This window comes from Homo sapiens, chromosome 12, assembly GCF_000001405.40.
Source record: "Homo sapiens chromosome 12, GRCh38.p14 Primary Assembly".
NCBI lineage: Eukaryota > Metazoa > Chordata > Mammalia > Primates > Hominidae > Homo > Homo sapiens.
Genome location: NC_000012.12, coordinates 47,166,292 through 47,187,303, shown reverse-complemented (window position 1 = coordinate 47,187,303; position 21,012 = coordinate 47,166,292). Strand labels below are relative to the sequence as shown.

The following is a 21,012-nucleotide window of genomic DNA, read 5'->3' as shown; positions in this document are numbered from 1 at the left end:
TTGGTTTTAGGTAAGATCCCATGGTCTCTCCCTATGAACACTATCTCTCACATAGTGTCAGCATTTCTAACTTCTTACCCTGGAGCTATCCACCTGGATCTTTCACCTAAACTCCTGAGTGCTTCTGGAGAAGGTAAAGATCTGTTTTGAGATGAATCTCAAACACTGTTAAGTAGGGCAGCATTTCTAAAGTCCACAGAGCAGCACAGTGGTCCACCTTCAAGTGTGATAGGCACTACCCACTACCTCCCCAAGAGCCATTTTCCCTTCTTTCAGTGTGTTCAGGTGGTAAGGAGAGATCTTTGCTTCCAAGGAGAGTGGTCCCCGACTCCAGGATAGGCCTAACCAGTCATGGAAATCTCCTTCCCTTTATCAATTGGTTGTTCTTGGTTTGGGCATTTGACCTTGTTCTGGCCAATAGGATATAAAAAGAAATCAGCTGGAGATATCCTAAGTAAAGACAAGATTTTGTGCTGTGTTAATTTCCTTGGGCTGCCATCACGAAGTATCACAAACTGGGTAGATTACAACAGAAATGTAGTATCTCACAATTCTGAAGGCCCTCAGACTGAAATAAGGTGTCAGCAGGGCCATGCTCCTTCTGAAAGCTGTAGGGGAAAAAACCTTTTCTTGTCTCTTCCTGGCTTCTGATGCTTGCCAATGAAGGGGTTTGGATTATGCCACCCCACAATATGCCACTCTGGCATATGGATTATTTTGACTTGAAGGCAACTGAGAAAAAGCAGACCCAGGATGAGATCTCTGTCCGCCTCCTATCTGCCTGAAAACAGAACATAAGCTCCCCTTGTGAAAGTGCCCCCCTCTACCCCCCTACCAGTAAAGGGATAACATAAAGGGACAACACCTTATCACTGGAGACAAGATGTCATCCAGAGGAATCTACAAAAACAAAACGTATTAACTAGCCCTCATCTACCATAAGTTTCCCCATATATTTGCCTTCCCACAATTTGCTGCCCCTAGAAGCTCAAAGTCATTTTCCTTTGTCTTGCCACTTCTCTACAAAATTATTGTTCTTTGCTCAATTCTATGTAAGTTCAAGTTCTTTTTTTTTTTCTTTTTTTTTAGACGGAGTCTCACTCTGTCACCCAGGCTGGAGTGCAGGGGCGCGATCTTGGCTCACTGCAACCCCTGCCCCCTGGGTTCAAGCAGTTCTCCTGCCTCAGTCTCCTGAGTAGCTGGGATTACAGGGGCGTGCCACCACATCTGGCTAATTTTGTTATTTTTAGTAGAGATGGGGTTTCACCATGTTGGTCAGGCTGGTCTCAAACTCTTGACCTCGTGATCCGCCCACCTTGGCCTCCCAAAGTGCTGGGATTACAGGTGTGAGCCACTGCACCAGACTAAGTTCAAGTTCTAACCACTCCTTTGAATTACTTATTACTGAATACTCCTATGTGTATGTGCAATGCATATTTCAATAAACTTGTTTGTTTTTCTCTTGTTAATCTGTCTTTTGTCAGTCTAATATACAGTCTTTTTTTTTTTTTGAGACTGAGTCTAGCTCTGCTGTTGCCCAAGCTGGAGTAGTAGTACCACGATTTCAGCTCACTGCAACCTCCACCTCCCAGGTTCAAGCAGTTCTGCTGCCTCAGCCTCCTGCATAGTTGGGATTACAGGTGCCTGCCACCAAGCCCAGCTAATCTTTGTATTTTCAGTAGAGATGGGGTTTCAACATGTTGGCCAGGCTGGTCTCGAACTGCTGGCCTTAAGTGATCCACCCCCGTCAGCCTTCCAAAGTGCTGGGATTACAGGTGTGAGCCACCGTGCCGGGCCACTCTAATATGCAGTCTAATTTTCCCTAGCTGGAGAACCTAGGATGGGTACAGAAAAGGTAATTATTTTCCTCTCCTACACCAGCAATACTTGGCATTCCTCGGCTTGCAGCTTCAATACTTCAACTTCTGCCTCCTTCTTCACAGGGCTGTCTTCCCTCTGTGTGTGTCTCTGCCTTCACATAGCGTTCTCTTCTTGTGTCTGTCTCTGTTTTTTCTTTTTGTAAGGACATCAGTTATTGGATTAGGGCCCACCCTGGTTCAATATGACCTCATCTTAACTAATTACATTTGCATTCCAAATAAGGCCACATTTGCAGGTATCTGGGTTAGGATATCAACATATCTTTTTTGGGGACACAGTTCAATCCATATAAAGGCCTTTTGCTCCTGCCTTTCATCTACCTGGAGATGCAGCAACATCTTGTGACTATGAGGCTACAAACATGAGGAAACAAGTTTACAAGCTAAAGCTGGTGGAAAGGAAAGCTAGGGAAAAAGAAGGAGTCTGACAGCATTACTACACAGTTGAACTACTGCCAGCAACCACTCACCTCTAGACCTCTTGCTAGGTAAGAAAAATAACTCCAGGTTACTTAACCTCTGCCAGGTTTCTTTCACCTGTAGCCAAAAACATTCCAATGCATACACAAAACTTTCCCTAGTTCATAATAAAATTAGAAAAATAAGTAAGGTAATAAAATTTTCATAGATCTGGATTCATTAAATTTAAAGGACTAATCTTTGTTCTGAAATTATGTTATTCCCACTTTTAAAAAATTAAAATATCCTTTCTTTTATGAAATGACGGTATTTGTAGATTGTAATTTTTTTTTTTTTTTAGTGTCTTTGGTAAAAGAAGGAAGGAAAAAGGGAAGGGAAAAAGGAAGGAAGGAAGGGAAGAAAAAAGATTTCAGAAAGTCTTTCTCTAATTTTTAAAAATTCTTTTACTTAGCTTGTGAAACTCAAAAGTCTGTGATGAGAAGAATGCTAGCTAAACTTGCTTTGAAGGGCTAGAACCAGTGGTGTGTGCTGGAGCTGCTGGCAGCAGTTACCGAGAGCAGATGGTTAAATTTCCAGGAAGCTACTTGGCATCACCTGGATGGTTTGAAATCCAATGTGGCGGGAGTATTTGCATCATGGAAATCTGCAAATGCTATAAATCAAACCACCTCCCCTTCCCCAGCTGGTCGTTTACCAGCACACCACTGTCTCCAGCCTGCCTCTTGCAAGTAGCCAGAGGGTAAGCATGCAAGGTACAGCTCACACCAACTAAAACACACATGGGATTGAGGTAAACTTCATTTACTAATTTATACATTTACAATGGAAAATATTCTTGGCCTGGTGCGGTGCAATCCCAGCACTTTGGGAGGGCCAAGGTGGGAGAATCGCTTTAGCCCAGGAGTTCAAGACCAGCCTAGGCAACATAGGGAGACCCTTTCTCTACAAAAAAGAAAAAGAAAAGAAGAAAAAGAAAAATATTCTCTCTATTGCTGGTTTAAGTACCTAATGGTCTATTTTCCTCAATAAAATGTCAGCTCTGCCTCAGCAGGAACCATATCTGTTCTGTTCATGCAGTATCCCCACTGCCTAGCATAGCACCAACTGGTGCGGGGGCCCTTGTCTTCCTTGGAGTCATGATCAGAGATTCTGTAGTTATCAGAACACTGAAGGAATCAAAGTCTATTAAAACATAAAAAAAAGTTTACGAGTGCAGGAAGTCTGTATACAGATGAGTCCCTGTCCTCACGTGGCACACAATTCTAAGATGGCTGAGCAAAAATATGCAATTAACAAAAGCACTTTGTAATTTCAAGTAGTGAAAGTTACCAGGATGTGAGTTTTAAACAGTCTACTGTACTGTGTTCAGTAAAATACCCGTTCAATGGGTGATATATAGGTGTTAAAAAAAAAAGAAATGGTTCTGTAGCTAGTATATTTGGGAAGTGCTGGTTAACCCAAGTTAAATCGATTTCTTTATTGTTAAACTTCTCTGAGCCTTTAATATGATGTTGATATGTGGGACTCTATTTTGAACATGCATATTTTGAGATACATTGCCTATTTAAGTGTCCCACAGAGCACATGTTAGGAAACACTAGCACATTGCTATCTTAGATTTCTCAAAAGGTCTCTACTTCCTTGAGGTAATTTTCTATCAGGCACTAGAGCAAAATATATTTAGAAATTCCATCCCTAGACAGCAAGAGATAGACAGTTCAGAAGTTTTCTATGTACATTCTGCCCACCTCTTTACCTATATATAATCACTATGATATAAATGTTTACCTATTATAATTTGTGAGTACCTGAATTGTAGCACTCTATTTTTCCCTAATTGGCAAAAGTTCATTCCCTAATTGGGTAGCTAACACTCCCAAGATATCAGATATGTTATTTGATTAGGATGTTAATCCTCTTTATGTCACCTGTTTTCCAAATGGTATAAAGAATAAAAATCATCCTTTGAATCATTGCCAAAAAAAAAAAGAGAGACCCCTGAAGCCATTCTAATTTAGCTTTTAGCTGTTGGGTGGAACTAAACTCTGTCTATCCCAGTAAGACACTCCATTTGCATTTATAATCTCTGGGGTGATGAGTTTCAAAATATTGTTTGTTTATATGTCCTCATTTTTGCGTATCCTTATGGGCAGTTGGATGTTTCTGCTCTTAAGGCAGTATGGTGTGGCGAGTGAGAGCTAGGGTTCTGGAGTCAGCCTGAGTTCAAGTTGCAGCTCAACTGTTACTAGCTATGTGGTCTTGTGCAAATTACTTAAGCCACAGTTTTCGTCAACTGTGCAATGGGAGTAATAGCACTAATAATCTGCCTCCTGAGTTACTGGAAGGCTGTTAAAAAGATAATAGGTATAAAGCACTCAACATAGTAGTATTCTTTTTTTTTCTTTTTTTTTTTGAGATGGAGTCTCGCTCTGTCACCCAGGTTGGAGTGCAGTGGCGTGATCTCGGCTCACTGCAATCTCCACCTCCCAGATTCAAGTGATTCTCATGCCTCAGCCTCCTGAGTAGCTAGGATTACAGGCACGTGCCACCACGCCCAGCTAATTTTTGTATTTTTAGTAGACATGGTGTTTCACCATGTTGTTTGGCTGGTCTCAAAGGCCTGACCTTGTGATCCGCCTGCCTCAGCCTCCCAACGTGCTGGGATTACAGGCTGAGCAACCGTGCCAGGGCAGTAGTATTCTTATCACTCTAGCTCTCTCAATACTGTAGGTCTATTGCTTACAGTGACTCACAGTGAATTCTTCTAGGTCCTCTCTCTTTCTTATCTAACCAAATCAGGTAAATACATTTGGTTCCTCTAGCACCCCCTCACTAGAAGGATCTCCCAGGCTTTCAGTCATTTCAGCTGTTCTTTTCTGAACCATCTTCAAGTTTCACTGGTGCTCTTCAGTTTTAGGATTTCTAACTGGACGCAGTCCTCTGAAAAATGCCTGCTTAGAGAAACAGAACTGTTTGTGACTTCAAAATTACATCAAAGTGCTCTTTGAAAAGGTTTGTGAAGCCTTCAGCCTTTCCATTAGTAATAGGAGTGGACTATTATTAGAATGCACTTCTGCACTGATCTTGTTGGGTTTAGTTCTGATTTTGAAGGAGGAAATTACAGGATGTTTCTTTTGACAGGATTGGAATCACAGAAGGTTGTGATGGTTGGTAATGATGTGTTGTCCTCTGTTTAGTACTGACAAAAAGTTGAATTGTTTTACTTTTTTTTTTTCAGTAGAGGAGATAAATTAGACTGAGAAGAAAAATGTTCTGAATTTAAAATAATTTAGAAAGCCAGTATTCTTTCTAATATATATTAGAAAGAATCTATCTCGGCCAGGTGGGGTCACTCATGCCTGTAATCCCAGCACTTTGGGAGGCCAAGGCAGGCAGATCACCTGAGGTTGGGAGTTCAAGACCTGCCTGGCCAACATGGTGAAACTCTGTCTCTACTAAAAATAAAAAGAAAATTAGCCAGGCATGGTGGTGCACACTTGTAATCCCAGCTAGTCGGGAGGCTGAGGCAGGAGAATCACTTGAACCTGGGAGGTTGCAGTGAGCTAAGATTGCACCATTGCACTCCAGCCTGGGCAACAAGAGTGAAAATCCATCTCAAAAAAAAAAAAATAATGAAAGAATCTATCTCATTCTAATATTCTTTCTAATATATATTAGAAAATAATGCACTGAAATATGTATCAAGAAAATACTGTTAAGGCCAAGCGCAGTGGCTAATGTGTATAGTGCCAGCATTTTGAGAGACTGAGGTGGGAGGATTGCTTGAGGCCAGGAGTTCAAGACCAGCCTGGGCAATATGGTGAAACCCCATCTCTACAAAAAATACAAATAATGAGCCAGGCGTGGCAGCAAGCACCTGTAGTCCCAGCTACCCAGGAGGCTGAGGTGGGGGATCACCTGAGTCCGGGAGGTTGAGGCTGTAGTGAGCCATGATTGTGCCACTGCACTTACAGAGTGAGACTTTGTCTCAAAAAAAAAAAAAGAAAGAAAAAGAGAATACAGTTGAAAATACCTTCACTAACCAGAACCTAACTCCCTGGAACCACTACATACATATATGTATGTATGTATATGTATACTTTCTCATGAAAGTATAGAATAAAAAACCAGTTGACCTCAGTGGTTAATAAAAAATCAACTGCTTTTTTCCCCAGATGTTTGTTGGCTGCATGAATGTCTTCTTCTGAGAAGTGTCTGTTCATGTCCTTTGCCCACGTTTTAATTTTTTTTTCTCATAAATTTGTTTAAGTTCCTTGTAGACTCTGGATATTAGACATTTGTCAGATGGGTAGATTGCAAAAATGTTCTCCCATTCTATAGGTTGTCTGTTCACTCTAATGATGGTTTCTTTTGCGGTGCAGAAGCTCTTTATTTAACTAGATTCCATTTGTCTATTTTTGTTTTTGTTGCTCTTGCTTTTGGCATTTTTGTCATGAAATCTTTGCCCATGCCTATGTCCCAAATGGTTTTTATAGTTTTGGGTTTTATATTGAAGTCTTTAATCCATCTTGAGTTAATTTTTGTATAAGGTGTAAGGAAGGAGTCTAGTTTCAATTTTCTGCACATGGCTAGCCAGCTCTCCCAGCACTATTTAGTAAATAGGGAATCCTTTCTCCATTGCTTGTTTTTGTCAGGTTTGCCAAAGATCAGATGGTTGTAGGTGTGCAGGCATATACACCATGGAATACTATGCAGTCATAAAAAGGAATGAGATCATGTCCTTTGCAAGGGCATGGATGGAGCTGGAAGCCATTATCCTCAGCAAACTAACACGGGAACAGAAAACCAAACACTGCATGTTCTCACTTACAAGTGGGAGGTGAACGATGAGAACACATAGACACATAGTGAGGAACACCACACACTGGGGCCTGTTGGGGGGTGTGAGGAGAGAGAAGATCAGGAAGAACAGCTAATGAATGCTGGGCTTAATACCTGGGTGATGGGTTGATCTGTGTAGCAAACCACCATGGTACATGTTTGCATATGTAACAAACCTGCACATCCTGCACATGTACCCTGGAACTTAAAATAAAAGTTGAAGAAAAAAATTAACTGCTAGTATAAGTCAACCCAATGTCTTATTTCACATATATATGACACTGACATATTGATATATACATGTCAATATATATATAATATTGACCTAAAATTTAATCTCAGTAGAAGAAGAGATTATGGTCTGTTTTGCCTCTGCTGTACCCTCAGTCTCTAGAAGAGTACCTGACAAAGGGTAGGCATTCAGTCAAGATTTCTTAAATGGATTGATGAATAAATAAATGAATGAAAATACTATGTTTGGTACTGGAAAAATGAGAAGTGATGTTCAGAATTATGAAGCAGAGGCATCGTGAGGTCTGTAATCATCAACATAATATTAGTTGTGTCACAATGAAACTGTACCTCTTAAACCAGAGCAGTTGTTTTTTAAAGTATTTAGAAATATGCTGACAAAATACTGCATTTTAAAAGGAAAGTTGATTAACTGGAAATATTATTTCGCCAGAATGGTCCACATTTCCAATTAATTGAGGCTTCAAATTTAAAGAAGAAAGAAGCAGACTCTGAGAGGATGAATGATTATATTGGTGCAATTTTTGCATTTGATAGAAAAGCTTTATGAAAATCTCCCCCTCAGCTAGTATGTCCAGATGTTCTGATGAGCTTTGATGTTCCCTTGTGTCATCTTTGAGAACAGACCTCCGTAGTTTAAGCTCCATATTAGTTTTCTTAATTGAAACTAAATAACATTGGCACAGAAGGTCTTGTATGAGCCTTTCAGAGATGTAGAAGATCAGAAGCAGAGAAGGGGAAGGTGGAGATTAGTTGCTAGTTCTAAATTGTGGTTGCAACCTCACAGTAGATAATTGGGCTTTTTACAAAGCAAATTAAGGCAAATTATGGTAATGCTCCAATTCGCAATTTGTATAATCTAGACACAAATTTATGTAATTACTTTTCAAAGTTAAAAATGATAGACAATTGCCTCAGGGCCTGTTGTAAACAATAGTAATGCATTTTTATACATTCAGCATGAAGATAATCAATCTTACGTTCATGACACTGGTACATTTGGAGTCTCATCCCAATTTTCTTTTCTTTTTTTTTTTTTTTTTGAGATGGAGTCTCACTCTGTCGCCCAGGCTGGAGTGCAGTGGCGTGATCACGGCTCACTGCAACCTCCACCTCCTGAGTTCAAGCAGTTCTCCTGCCTCAGCCTCCTGAGTAGCTGGGATTACAGGTGCTCACCACCATGCCCAGCTAATTTTTGTATTTTTAGTAGAGACAGGGTTTCACCATGTTGGTCAGGCTGGTCTCGAACTCCTGACCTTGTGATTTGCCCACCTCAGCCTCCCAAAGTGCTGGGATTACAGGCATGAACCACCGCGCCTGGCCTCATCCCAATTTTCTATGCTTTTTTTCCCTTTATTTTTTGAGATGGAGGCAAGAGCTACATAGGCTACCTGGGCTGTTGCCATTCCATTGTTTGAAAGCATAAGCCTGATGTTATCTGTCCTCACCAGCCCATGAAATTTCCTGAGGCAGCACTCCACCTGCTTAAGTAGTAACTTAGCACTGCCCCCCAACAATGTGTCCCACTTATGCTGGGGACTTTCTACAAGTGGGTGCTTTGCACTTGTCCACATACTAGTCTGTCAAATGCAGTCAGCACATGGCATCCACCGGGTCCTCCTCCCGCTGCACTTCCTGATGCCTGTCTGCCATCTAATCCCTACCACAGCCAACCACCACTGTCTGAGGTGAGGATGCTGGTGTCTACGCCAAAGGTGCTGTATTCTCAGGGTATGAGTGTGGTGTGGGGTTTTGTATAGAGGAAGGGAGAAAGTCTCTCTTTCTAATTCTCTGCTACTCTTGGTCATGTGGGCCCTTAAGCAGATCTGATTACATTTAGAGTCCTTTCTATTCTTCCAGCTTCTGGCCTTTACCCTCTCCTAGAACCTTAAAGTCTCCCAAGAAAATAGATCTGTCAGCATCTGGCACTAATTCCATGGCCAGAATCTCAAACTTTTTTTTTGAGACAGGGTCTTGCTCTATCACCCAGGCTGGAGTGCAGTGACACGATCTCGGCTCACCGCAACCTCCACCTACCGAGTTCAAGCGATTCTCCTGCCCCAGCCTCCTGAGTAGTACAGGTGTGTGCCACCATACCGGGTTAATTTTTGTATTTTTAGTAGAGACAGGGTTTCACCATGTTGGCCAGGCTTGTCTCAAACTCCTGACTTCAGGTGGTCTGCCCACCTTGGCCTCCCAAAGTGCTGGGATTATAGGCATGAGCTACTGCACCTGGCCCAGAACCTCAAACATTCTTTTGGGAACATTCCTCCAGTTTCTAGTTGCCACCCCCCACCCCACCACCAGGCTGGACTAAGGCATCAGTACAACATAGGTGCTATAATCATCATCTCTCCCGTCTCCTTTGAGACATTCTGTCAACCAAACTCATGTCCTCTAATCAGTCACGAAGCAGAAGACTCCAAGTACATCAAAGGTTACATATGGGTTTAGTGTGAGGGTGATTGGAACCACAGTGAGGAATGGGGTGAATGTGTCAGTCACCCCATTAGCAGTCAGTCAGCCAAAATGCTCTCTTATATGAGGAGATATTTCTCTCCAATTTCGCCAATGATGAAATAAAACCTGACAACCTTATTCTCCACACACAACATACTTTCCCTCAGTGAATCATTTAGGTAGGCACTGCCAGTCCTTCCAGTGCTTGGGATTAGTTATCCCTTTGTGGCATTTCCTCATATGCCCCCAGATGAGTACTTGTGTTTATTGGGCACTTTATGACTGGATAGCATCCCCTTCCCTGTCCTCCAGAGCCAGGATGAACACAGCCTAAGCTACTCACTCCTGCTCTGAGGCATCTCAGAGTTCACAGCTGGTGCTTCATATGGGACTGCTCAGTTTATTCCAAGGAGACAGTCCTTTTGTTTTCTCTCTGCTACTTCTTTCTTTACTCAGTCATAATTGTATCTTCCTGCCATCCCCACTGGAGATAGTTTTGACTTCTGGTTTAGTGAAAAATCTGTTTTTCTTCCTATCGTACTCTCAACATTCAATGCTTCTGTGAACAATACATTAGTGGGTTTTTTTTTTTCTCCCCACACTGACCAATATTCCGACACCAGTTGACATTGGAAATAGCGTCAGATCCCAAAGGTTAAGGGCTCAGTCCCATGAGGCTATCCACCACTTCAGATGCCAATTGCAAGTAGTAGGTCCCCAGGTTACCATAACTTCTACTGGACTTGGCTACAAATTGGAGGCTCCTATGACTCCCTTCTCAGGTTCGATAATTTACTAGAATGGCTCATAGAACCCAGGAAAACAGTTTACTTGTTATTGCCAACTTATTAGAAAGGATATTTTAAGAGATACAAATGAACAGCCAGATGGAAGAGATGCATAGGACAAGGTACGGGGCATGCGGCGTGGTCATGCCACCCTCCCAGCACCTCCATGTGTTCAGCAACCCGAAGGTCTCTGAACCCCAGAGGATGGGGAATGGGTCTGAAGTTTCCAAGCTTCTAATCATGGCTTGGTTTTTCTGGTGTCCAGCCTTCATCCAAGAACCTACTGAGGGTTGCCTCATGAGAACAAAAGACACTGTTGTCACCCAGGGATTTCCAAGGGATTAGGAGCTCTGCATCAGGAACTGGGGGAAAAAAACAAATATTAGAAACAAAGATGCACCTAGCACCTCTATTGCTTAGGAAATTACAAGGGTTTTAGGAGCTCTGTGCCAGGAATTGAGGATAAAGACCAAAATATGTATTCCTTATTATAAATCACAATATCGTACTTCTCTTCCTTATGTTTTCCTGATTTTAGTCAGTATGAAATCCAGCCACTTTTTAAGAAGGAAAATATTGAGCAATAATATTATTTAAAGAATCATTGGCTAGGGCATGCCAGTATTAAAAGGAGCAAGCTGGGTGGGATGCCTTCTGCTTGTAATCTCAGTAACTTGGGAGGCTGAGGTGGGAAGATGGCTTAAGCCCAGGAGTTCGAGACCAGTCTGGGCAATGTAGCGACACCCTGTCTCTAAAAAAAAAAAGAAATAAAATTAAAAATAAATAAATAGGCCGGGCACAGTGACTCACGCCTGTAAACCCAGGACTTTGGGAGGCTGAGGCAGGCAGATCACCTGAGGTCAGGAGTTCGAGATCAGCCTGACCAACATGGTGAAACCCTATCTCTACTAATATACAAAATTAGCTGGGCATGGTGGCGGATGCCTGTAATCCTAGCTACTTGGGAGGCTGAGGCAGGAGAATTGCTTAAACCTGGGAGGCTGAGGTTGCAGTGAGCCGAGATTGCACCATTGCACTCCAGCCTGGGCAACAAGAGTGAAACTCCATCTCAAAATAAATACATACATACATACATACATACATACATACTGAAAGAAGTAAACCAAAAGGTTTCTGAATTCTGAAGTGGGATTTCTGTATACTAGAAATTTCTATAACCTGACATTTAGAAATTGTTACAACATTCTAGATAACAACCAAATAAAATTATTAATGAGGTGTGGCTCCCTTGGAAAAAAGCCCTGAATTAATTTAATTCATGGATATAAAGATACTGTGCAAGTTAATATCAATTTGCCACCCCAAATTAACATGAGTCCAAAAGTGAATAAATACTTTTACATTCAACTAGTTTTTGTTGTCCAGATATTATGAGCACTTTTGCACTTTGCATCTAGGATAATGTACATCTCTAGATTATAATTCTAAGATAAAGCCAGCACCATATTTTAACTGTAAATATTCTACTCAACTAGCAATTCTACCTCTTTTACGATTTGTGATTCACTTTTTCTATTCTAAATATCAAAAATGCAGAATTATAGGAATTTGAAGAGGGATATTATAAGGGTGTTTAAAAATAATTATAGATGTATATTATCTAGATATATATGGTATATAGTTATTACATGTTATACATGTTATAAGTCACAATACTCAGCATTACTTATCAAGGCTTACTATCCATCTGACACCTTGCCACGTCTTTACCTACATTATCTCATTTGAAGTACAGAGAGTTTTAATTCCCATTTTACAGATGAGGAAACTAATGCTCAGTGATGCTAAGTAACTTGCTCAAGTTAATAGTCTAAGTGGGAGACCCAGGATTTGAACTTGCATCTCTCTGACCCCAGGAGTTATGCACTTAACCTCTATGCTCTGATGTAGAAAAGGCAGAGAACCACTTAAAAAAAATTAAATTCCAGATGTGCAAAAGTATATATAAATTACTTTTGTATCCTTTTACAAAACTGTCATATTCATTAATTTTAGGCATGGGAATAAAAAAGGTAAATGCTGGAATAGATGAGGCGCTAAGAGCAAGAGGACCTGAGGCATACCAGGACCAGTGGGTAGAGTATGCCAATGCACAGCCAAAAGAAGCAGAAGTCTTGATGGTACTTCAGATTAAATTTGGGTTAAAGAGCTTAATTTGATTCCCCTAACATTTTATTTATTTATTTATTTATTTATTTTGTTTGTTTGTTTGTTTTGTTTGTTTTTTTTTTTTGGATTGAGTCTCACTCTATAGCCTAGGCTGGAGTGCGGTAGCGCAATCTCCGCTAACTGCAACCTCCACCTCCCAGGTTCAAGCGATTCTTCTGCCTCAGCCTCCCGAGTAGCTGGAATTACAAGCATGCGCCACCATGCCTGGCTAATTTTTGTATTTTTCCTAGAGCCAGGTTTTCTCCATGTTGGCCAGGCTGGTCTTGAATTCTTGGCCTCAAGTGATCCACCCTCCTCCGACTTCCAAAGTGCTGGGATTACAGGCGTGAGCCACCTCAGCCGGCCATATTTTTTTATAGAGACAGAGTCTCACTATGTTTCCCAGGCTGATCTCAAATTCCTGGGCTCAAGTGATGGGCCTGCCTCGGCTTTCCAAAGTGCTGGGATTACAGGTGTGAGCCACCATGCCTGGCCCCTCCCTAACATTTATTAAACTTGTTTGCTGGCCACCATGCTAGACACTTTTGCATACATATTTATTTTAATTGATCTGAATAAGAATAGTCTTCAAAGCATCCGCAGCATTTACCACAGACATTTTCCTCAGCCTTTTAAAACATATGAAACACCTGAGAAATATTTATGAGCCTCGTATAATCATTTTTTTAAAGATCTGAAATCTCTCCTTTTAGATTAATACTTAAACAATTGATGAAGATAATCTCTCTTATCTGGGCATTACATTTTTCTTCTGGTACTTCAAAGATTAATCATAATCATCCTAAAATTAGTGACTACGAATCTTTGGCAGGATGGCCCAACTTCCGTTATAAATATCATAGACATTTTGCTTTTTTATCCCACCATGTTTAAGAAAAAAAAAAAAGTATGTGTTTATGTACAGAATTAAGGAGCTAACAGGCCGGGCATGGTGGCTCACACCTGTAATCCCAGCACTTTGGGAGGCTAAGGCGGGCAGATCACGAGGTCAAGAGATCGAGACCATCCTGACTAACACGGAGAAACCCTGTCTCTACTAAAAATACAAAAATTAGCTGGGCGTGGTGGCGGGCGCTTCTAGTCCCAGCTACTCGAGAGGCTGAGGCAGGAGAATCGCTTGAACCCAGGAGGTGGAGGTTGTAGTGAGCCAAGATTGTGCCACTGCACTCCAGTCTGGCAATAGAGGGAGACTCTGTCAAAACAAAGAAACATACAGGAGATAAATGATTCTGAACTTCGAAAAAGTTACTTTAAGTTACATATCAGGTTTTGAAGGAATCTACAACTTTTCTGGTGGTTGGTTTTTTCCTTCTACTACCCGCCATAGTTTAATCATCCGATTTAATGCCTGATAGGTCATTCTGTGACACTTTCTATGTCTCCTACATGGCTGCTCTGAGTCAAAAGTGTGAAGGAAATCTTGAGTTTCTTCTTCATTGTCTCAGTTGATTTTCTCCTCTTTATTGTCCTGTCTTCCCCATTGCCTTTTTCAACAACTTGTCTCTCAAAAAATGGCCCTCACAAACACACAAAAACATTTTGGTACCTTCTCAGCCTTGTCTGTTTCAAAATGATTTCTCCTTGTCACATTCTTAACCTCTTTCCCTCAACAACATTGCTGTTTCCTCTAGGCTAGGCAGCTGATCTGAGCAGGATCTCAGGAGACAGTTCCTTCCCAACACAATACCACTAGGAAAGGAAGAGAGGTTCTGTCCTGTGCCAGTTCTTATCTTTTACACATATGATCTCCTAATAAGAGATCTGGAGGAAGGCATAGCTATCTCCATTTTACAGGATCAGGGTCAGAAAATTAAGCAGTTTGCCCAAGTTCATAAAGCTAGGAAATGCCCAGTTGGCATTAGTTCATGCTAATTCACTTTGAGCCACAAAATTCATGCTATTTCACTATGTCATCTTGCTTTCTACCACATTCAGAATCAAACTCAAAATTTATCAGTCTAGCAATCATAGATTTCCTTGATCAGAATTTCTTTTTGAGATAGGGTCTCACCCTGTCACCCAGGCTGGAGTGCCATGTGCCATGGTGCAATCTCGGCTCAGTGCAGCCTCTGCTTCCAAACAACAATAACAAAAGAACTGAAAAATAACCAAAAAAAAAAAAAAAAAAAAAGCAACCCACGACTTTTTAACTGAACAAGCAAGTGGGTGAACTGAAGAAGATGATTTATGCTGGGTTCAAATTAGTAGCCTGAAAGAACAATTGGAAGAAGTATCTCAAAATAAGGAGCAATAATTCAAAGAGGCAGAAATCATGAGCAAAAAGATAGCAGACTTGGAAGAAAGATCCAGGAGACCTACATGCAAATATCAGAAAAACATAAGAGCACAGATCAAGGAGAGGCAAAGTTAGTTAAAATTAGATTTATTCAAGTCAGCAGATGGAAATGTATTACCAAGGTCCACACACTTAGACATATTCTGGTAAGATTTCTGAACTCCAAGGATTAAGACAAATCTTATAAATACAGAGACAGAAAGATCAACTATGCAAATATCTATCTATAGACACATACATATACATATAGAAGAGGAAGAAGAAGAAGAGGAAGAAGAGGAAGAAGAAGAAGAAGAAAAGAAGAAGAAGGAGAAGAAGAAGAAGAAAGAAGCAGCAGCAGAAGAAGAAGAAGAAGAGGAAGAAAAAAAGAAGAAGAAGAAGAAGAAACGTTAGACTGATACAGGACTGTGTCATCTACAACTCAGGAGCTAATAAAAATTACTAATATCAGAGAGAAAAGAACTACAATCCAAGAATTTTATATCTGAGGCAAGATATTATCTTTCTTTTATCAGGAGAAAAACTATATTTGTGGCTATGCAAGAATTCATAGAAAATATCATCCTCCTATTCCATCTTAGGGAAACCAGGTCAGAGTAGAAGATGAAGAGAGGAAACAAAAATGGCAAGCAGTATAGCTTGCAGTAAGTAAAGTTAGATGCAAATAGGTGTTAACAAAGTGAGATTAATATAATAGCTAAATAAGCAATCTTTAAAAAGAAGAATTTACTGCAAGAGAAATCTAATAATAGCTTAGAACCCAAAGTATTAAGCCATATCAGCAAAAAAAGTATTTGAAAGTAGAATAGGGCCAGGCACGGTGGCTCACGCCTGTAATCCCAGCACTTTGGGAGGGCAAGGTGGGCGGATCACCTGAGGTCTGGAGTTCTAGACCAGCCTGACTAATATGGAGAAACCCCATCTCTACTAAAAATACAAAATTAGCCGGGCGTGGTGGTGCATACCTGTAATCCTAGCTACTCAGGAGGCTGAGGCAGAGCAATCGCTTGAACCCGGGAGGCGGAGGTTGCAGTGAGTCGAGATGGTGCCATTGCACTCCAGCCTGGGCAATAAGAGCAAAACTCCGTCTCAAAAAAAAAAAAAAAAAAAGGTAACCTGGCAGGAAGAATGGAGAAGTAAAGGTATTCAAAAGTCTCATTTATTGGTGGGAACAGTGAAAAAAAGAGTGATTTGGTTGAAAGGAAAAAGCATGTGGATTTCATATGATAGTCCAGAAACTTGTGTGTGATGATAAGGGAAGATAATTAATAAGAAAATGAGAATGTAGAGCAACCTGAACAAATCAGCAAAAATGAAGAAAGAAAAAAGAGGAAATGCAAAGTAAGACCAAAGATAAATATTAAATAAGATAGAATGAATAAAACAGTTGTTATACTTAACATGAATGGGCTAAATTTTCTATTGAAAAACAGAGACTGGCAGGTTGGGTTAAATAACAAAATTAAGCAATACACTGTTTATTGGTTTTTTAATGCTTAAAACAAAGTGAGTTTTTTAAAGACTGAAAAATGAAATGGACAAAGAGATATCACAAAGAGAAAGGAGAAGTTCATATTAATACCAGGTGGGCAGAATTTAAGCTTAAAACCACCAATGAAATTAAAGATGAGTAATATCCGGGAGGGAGGTGGGGGGCGCCTCCGCCCGGCCGCCGCCCCATCCGGGAGGTGGGGGGCGCCTCTGCCCGGTTGCCCTGTCCGGGAAGTGAGGAGCCCCTCTGCCCAGCCGCCACCCCGTCTGGGAGGTGTACCCAACAGCTCATTGAGAACGGGCCATGATGACGATGGCGGTTTTGCCGAATAGCAAAGGGGGAAATGTGGGGAAAAGAGAGATCAGATTGTTACTGTGTCTGTGTAGAAAGAAGTAGACATAGGAGACTCCATTTTGTTCTGTACTAAGAAAAATTCTTCTGCCTTGGGATGCTGTTAATCTATAACCTTACCCCCAACCCCGTGCTCTCTGAAACATGTGCTGTGTCCACTCAGGGTTAAATGGATTAAGGGCAGTGCAAGATGTGCTTTGTTAAACAGATGCTTGAAGGCAGCATGCTCCTTAAGAGTCATCACCACTCCCTAATCTCAAGTACCCAGGGACACAAACGCTGTGGAAGGCGGCAGGGCCCTCCGCCTAGGAAAACCAGAGACCCTTGTTCACGTGTTTATCTGCTGACCTTCCCTCCACTATTGTCCTATGACCTTGCCAAATCCCCCTCTCCGAGAAACACCCAAGAATGATACTAAAAAAAAAAAAAAAAAAAGATGAGTAATATACAATGATAAAAAGAACTTTTTTTTTTTTTTGAGACAGGGTCTCACTTTGTTGCCCAAGCTGAAATACAGCGGCATGATAATAGTTCACTGCAGCCTTGAACTCCTGGGCTCAAGCGATCTTCCTATCTTGGCCTCCCAAAACACTAGGATTACAGGCATCAGTCACCATGCTGGGCCAAAAAGTACAATTTAGGTAAAAGATATACTAGTAATTACTTTGTATGTATTAGATACAGCAGCTAAATATATAAAGTGTTAGAAATGCAAGGAGAACTTCATTTAGAAATATATACGATATATGTCTTTCAGAATTCTCCAAATCCAATGGGGCAAAAAATAGTAATAATGACAAACAGAAATTAAACAGTAAAACTATTGAAATGATGGGGTTTAGGACATACTACCCCAAAATATGGCAGCTTGCCATATTGAATATTTTAAGCTGAAGGAATCTGAAAAATGGCAGGTACAGAAAGGACACTCTGACACTTTCTTCTCCCCTGAAATACGACATAAGACCCTCACATGAGAGGTACCTTCCTGATACTCAGAGAGAAGGACACCTTTATCACCGAAGATGGGAAGATGGAGGGATGTTGAGAGGAATTCAAACAAATAGGCCTTGCTAAGTTTCCTCCAGTTTGCTATCCTAGCTCAAACCCTCTCTGCCCTATCATATTTTTCCACAACTTTCTACTCTTTGTCAAACCTAGTATAAAAATACTCAGGGTTAACTGTTTCTTTAGGTCTTCATTTCCACTTCTGTGTTATGTAAAACAGATTTTAAATAAATTTGTATTCTTTTCTCTTGTTAATCTGTATCTTACAGCCCCAGCAAACAACCTAGAAGTGAGAAGATATTTTTCCTCCCCTACAATATTAAACCATATATCCTTTGAGTAGAAAGTATTAAGTAGAAAATATTCATATTTTTGCATGTTCATGGAGTATTTATGACATTTGGTCATACTCTTGGTTGAAAAAACTTAACTTTTTTTTAAAGGTCAATTTTACAGGTTATATTCTCTAATAAAACTCAGAAATAAGAAAAAAAGAATGACAAAAATTCTAAATACTTATGAAAAAACAACAACACTTCAATAAAGTAACAACACTTTAATAGCTCTGGGTCAAAAAGAAAATAAAAACCAAAATTCAAAATTATTTCAAAGCAATGGCAAGAACTACTATTTATGTCAAACCAAGAAGACATATGGAAATCTATGAGAGGAATATTTGTAGCTTTAAGTGCCTTTGCCATTAAAGATTAAGAGCTGAAAAGTAAAGAACAATACTCATCTTTAGGAAATTAGAAAAAGAAAACAAAACCAAGTGGAAAGATTAAAATAGTGAAGAAGGAAAATAATGAACAAGAAAGCAAAATAATAAGTAAAAGAGCAGAAAGGATAAATAGACCTAAAAAGGAAAATCAATAGAAGCCTGACTAAGAGAAACATACACAAGATAAGAAATAAGAGAGAGACAATCAAATATAAGACACTGAAAACATTATAAGAGAATATTAGATTCAACGGCAACATTTCAAAAAACCTACAGGGAATAAATGATGTTCTTGCAAAATATAAGCTAACACAATTGACCCAAGAAGAAACATAAAACTTGGGTAGATCAAATGCTACAGAAGAGACAGAAGGAGGCTTAAAAGACCTACTCTCTAAAAAATCACCAGGACCAGATAGATTGTGATAAGTTCTAGCTGATCTTTAAAAACACACAAGTAAACCAGGTAATTCATATGGAACTGGTACTTTTCCAGAATATAGAAAAAGCAATCTCTGGCCTCTCCTTTTTTCTCTTCATCATTTTTCCTGTCTTTAATGTTAGTGTCCCCATCTACCTCACCCAAATATTTTGGCTCATTTAACTGTCTTCACAGACTTGCTGGTTTCAACATCGCTACTCCTTGCCCCTTTCCCGACCACCTTCCCTCATCAAAATGTCTGCCTCCTCTGGCAGCTGGTCAAGCTGGGCCTTAGGAGAGCAATGTTGGCCTGCCCAGGTACTGCTCGAGAGTTTTACTCTGGAGGTGCTCTTTTGAGCTAGAAGGCCCATCTTCCCTCCATGGAGAACACTGACTCCCTCTCTGGGCTCTGCTGTTTTTAGCCTTCCTATAACAGAATACCAACTCAAAATGTCCTAAACAATAAGAGAATTTATTATCTTAAGTAATTCGATCGATTCCATGGTTCAGCAATATCATCTAGAATCCAGCTTCGTTCTCTGTGCTGCTATTTATGACACTCACTTCATTGTAGGGTTGCTTTTCCTCATTGTCATAATATGGCTACCAGCACAACTGGGTACACGTGTGTCCTTGTCCATGTGCAGGATTCAAAGACAACTGGCTCTTTCCCCTGACAACTCTGGTGAAACACACCTCACATTTCTTTAGCCCAATCACAGGTAGGTGACACAGTTGGCTTTGAGTGATCATCTGAGGAAAGACTGTTGGAGAGACAGCCACAATGCCCTTTTCAGTTCCCACTTCATTTTCCTAGTTGGTCAGCAGGGAAATCCAGCACTGACCCCTAGGAATGCCCAACAGATATGGAATTTGTCACCACAAAGGGTACCAAGATATGCTACACCCCCCAAAATATGCCTTTTTGTTACGTTGAATATTTTAGCTAAAGGCCATCGAGACCAACAGACACAGAAAAAGCTCTAAAAATAGGGCACAAATTTTCCTTTAATAAAGAAAATTTAGAACATTTCCATCTTTAAAGATATCTCCTTTTCCCTTATGGAGAAGAGGACTCAATAACTCTTATCAATGGAGAAAGCACTAAACAATCCTTGTTTACCATACTTTTCTTGGTCACCTTCCTGTAACTTGCCTCCTGACCTAGAAGTCCCAAATCCCTTTTCCTTTATTTTGCTAAAAATGGAATACCGTAAAAGCCTTAACCATCTGGCTGCCTCCTTGAGGAACATTTTTCTTTATAAACTCTGGTGTTACGTATGTAGCTATGTACATAATTAAAACTGTTTTTTTCTCTTGTTAATCTGTCTGTTATTTGTTTGATTCATGGACTCCAAGCCAATGAACCTAAGAGGGGTAAATAAAAAAAATATTTTTTTCTACTCTGATAACCAATAGAAAAATTAATGCTTTGACACAGGAGATGCTTTTATTATTATTATTATTTTTACCACACCTCATCTTGATTAGTTACTTGTTTGTAGAAAGACTTCCCTCTTTGATTCTTTTGTTTTACAGCAGGAATGATTGAGATGAGCAGAGCATCATTTCAAATTCTCTCATAAGACTGGATTGTAAATCACTTACTGTCAAGACGGTGGCCAGTTGCCATTCAACTATAATTAATTCATACACTATTGCTATTGACATGTTTCTCAGGTGAGTGAAAAGTTTCTATGCCTCTGTATTTTAATTGGTTTAGCTCAAGTTTTTGGCTAAATGTGTTAAAGAAAAACAAAGCCAGTTAAAGCTAGTTAAAGATTATAAAGACAAACCAGTATGGAACTGAGCTCAACTCCAATCCATATAGAGGCTACTGGGCATTTTAAAGGGAGAATGAGGGAGTGAAGAGAGAGAAACTGCCCGGCTC

At 40.2% G+C, this 21,012-nt stretch overlaps 1 protein-coding gene across 16 annotated transcripts in view; it reads right to left on the bottom strand.

Moving 5' to 3' along the window:
- The window catches only part of PCED1B (PC-esterase domain containing 1B), a 157,040-nt gene that overhangs the window by 49,357 nt on the left and 86,671 nt on the right, over positions 1 to 21,012 (bottom strand). The window lies entirely within an intron of this gene.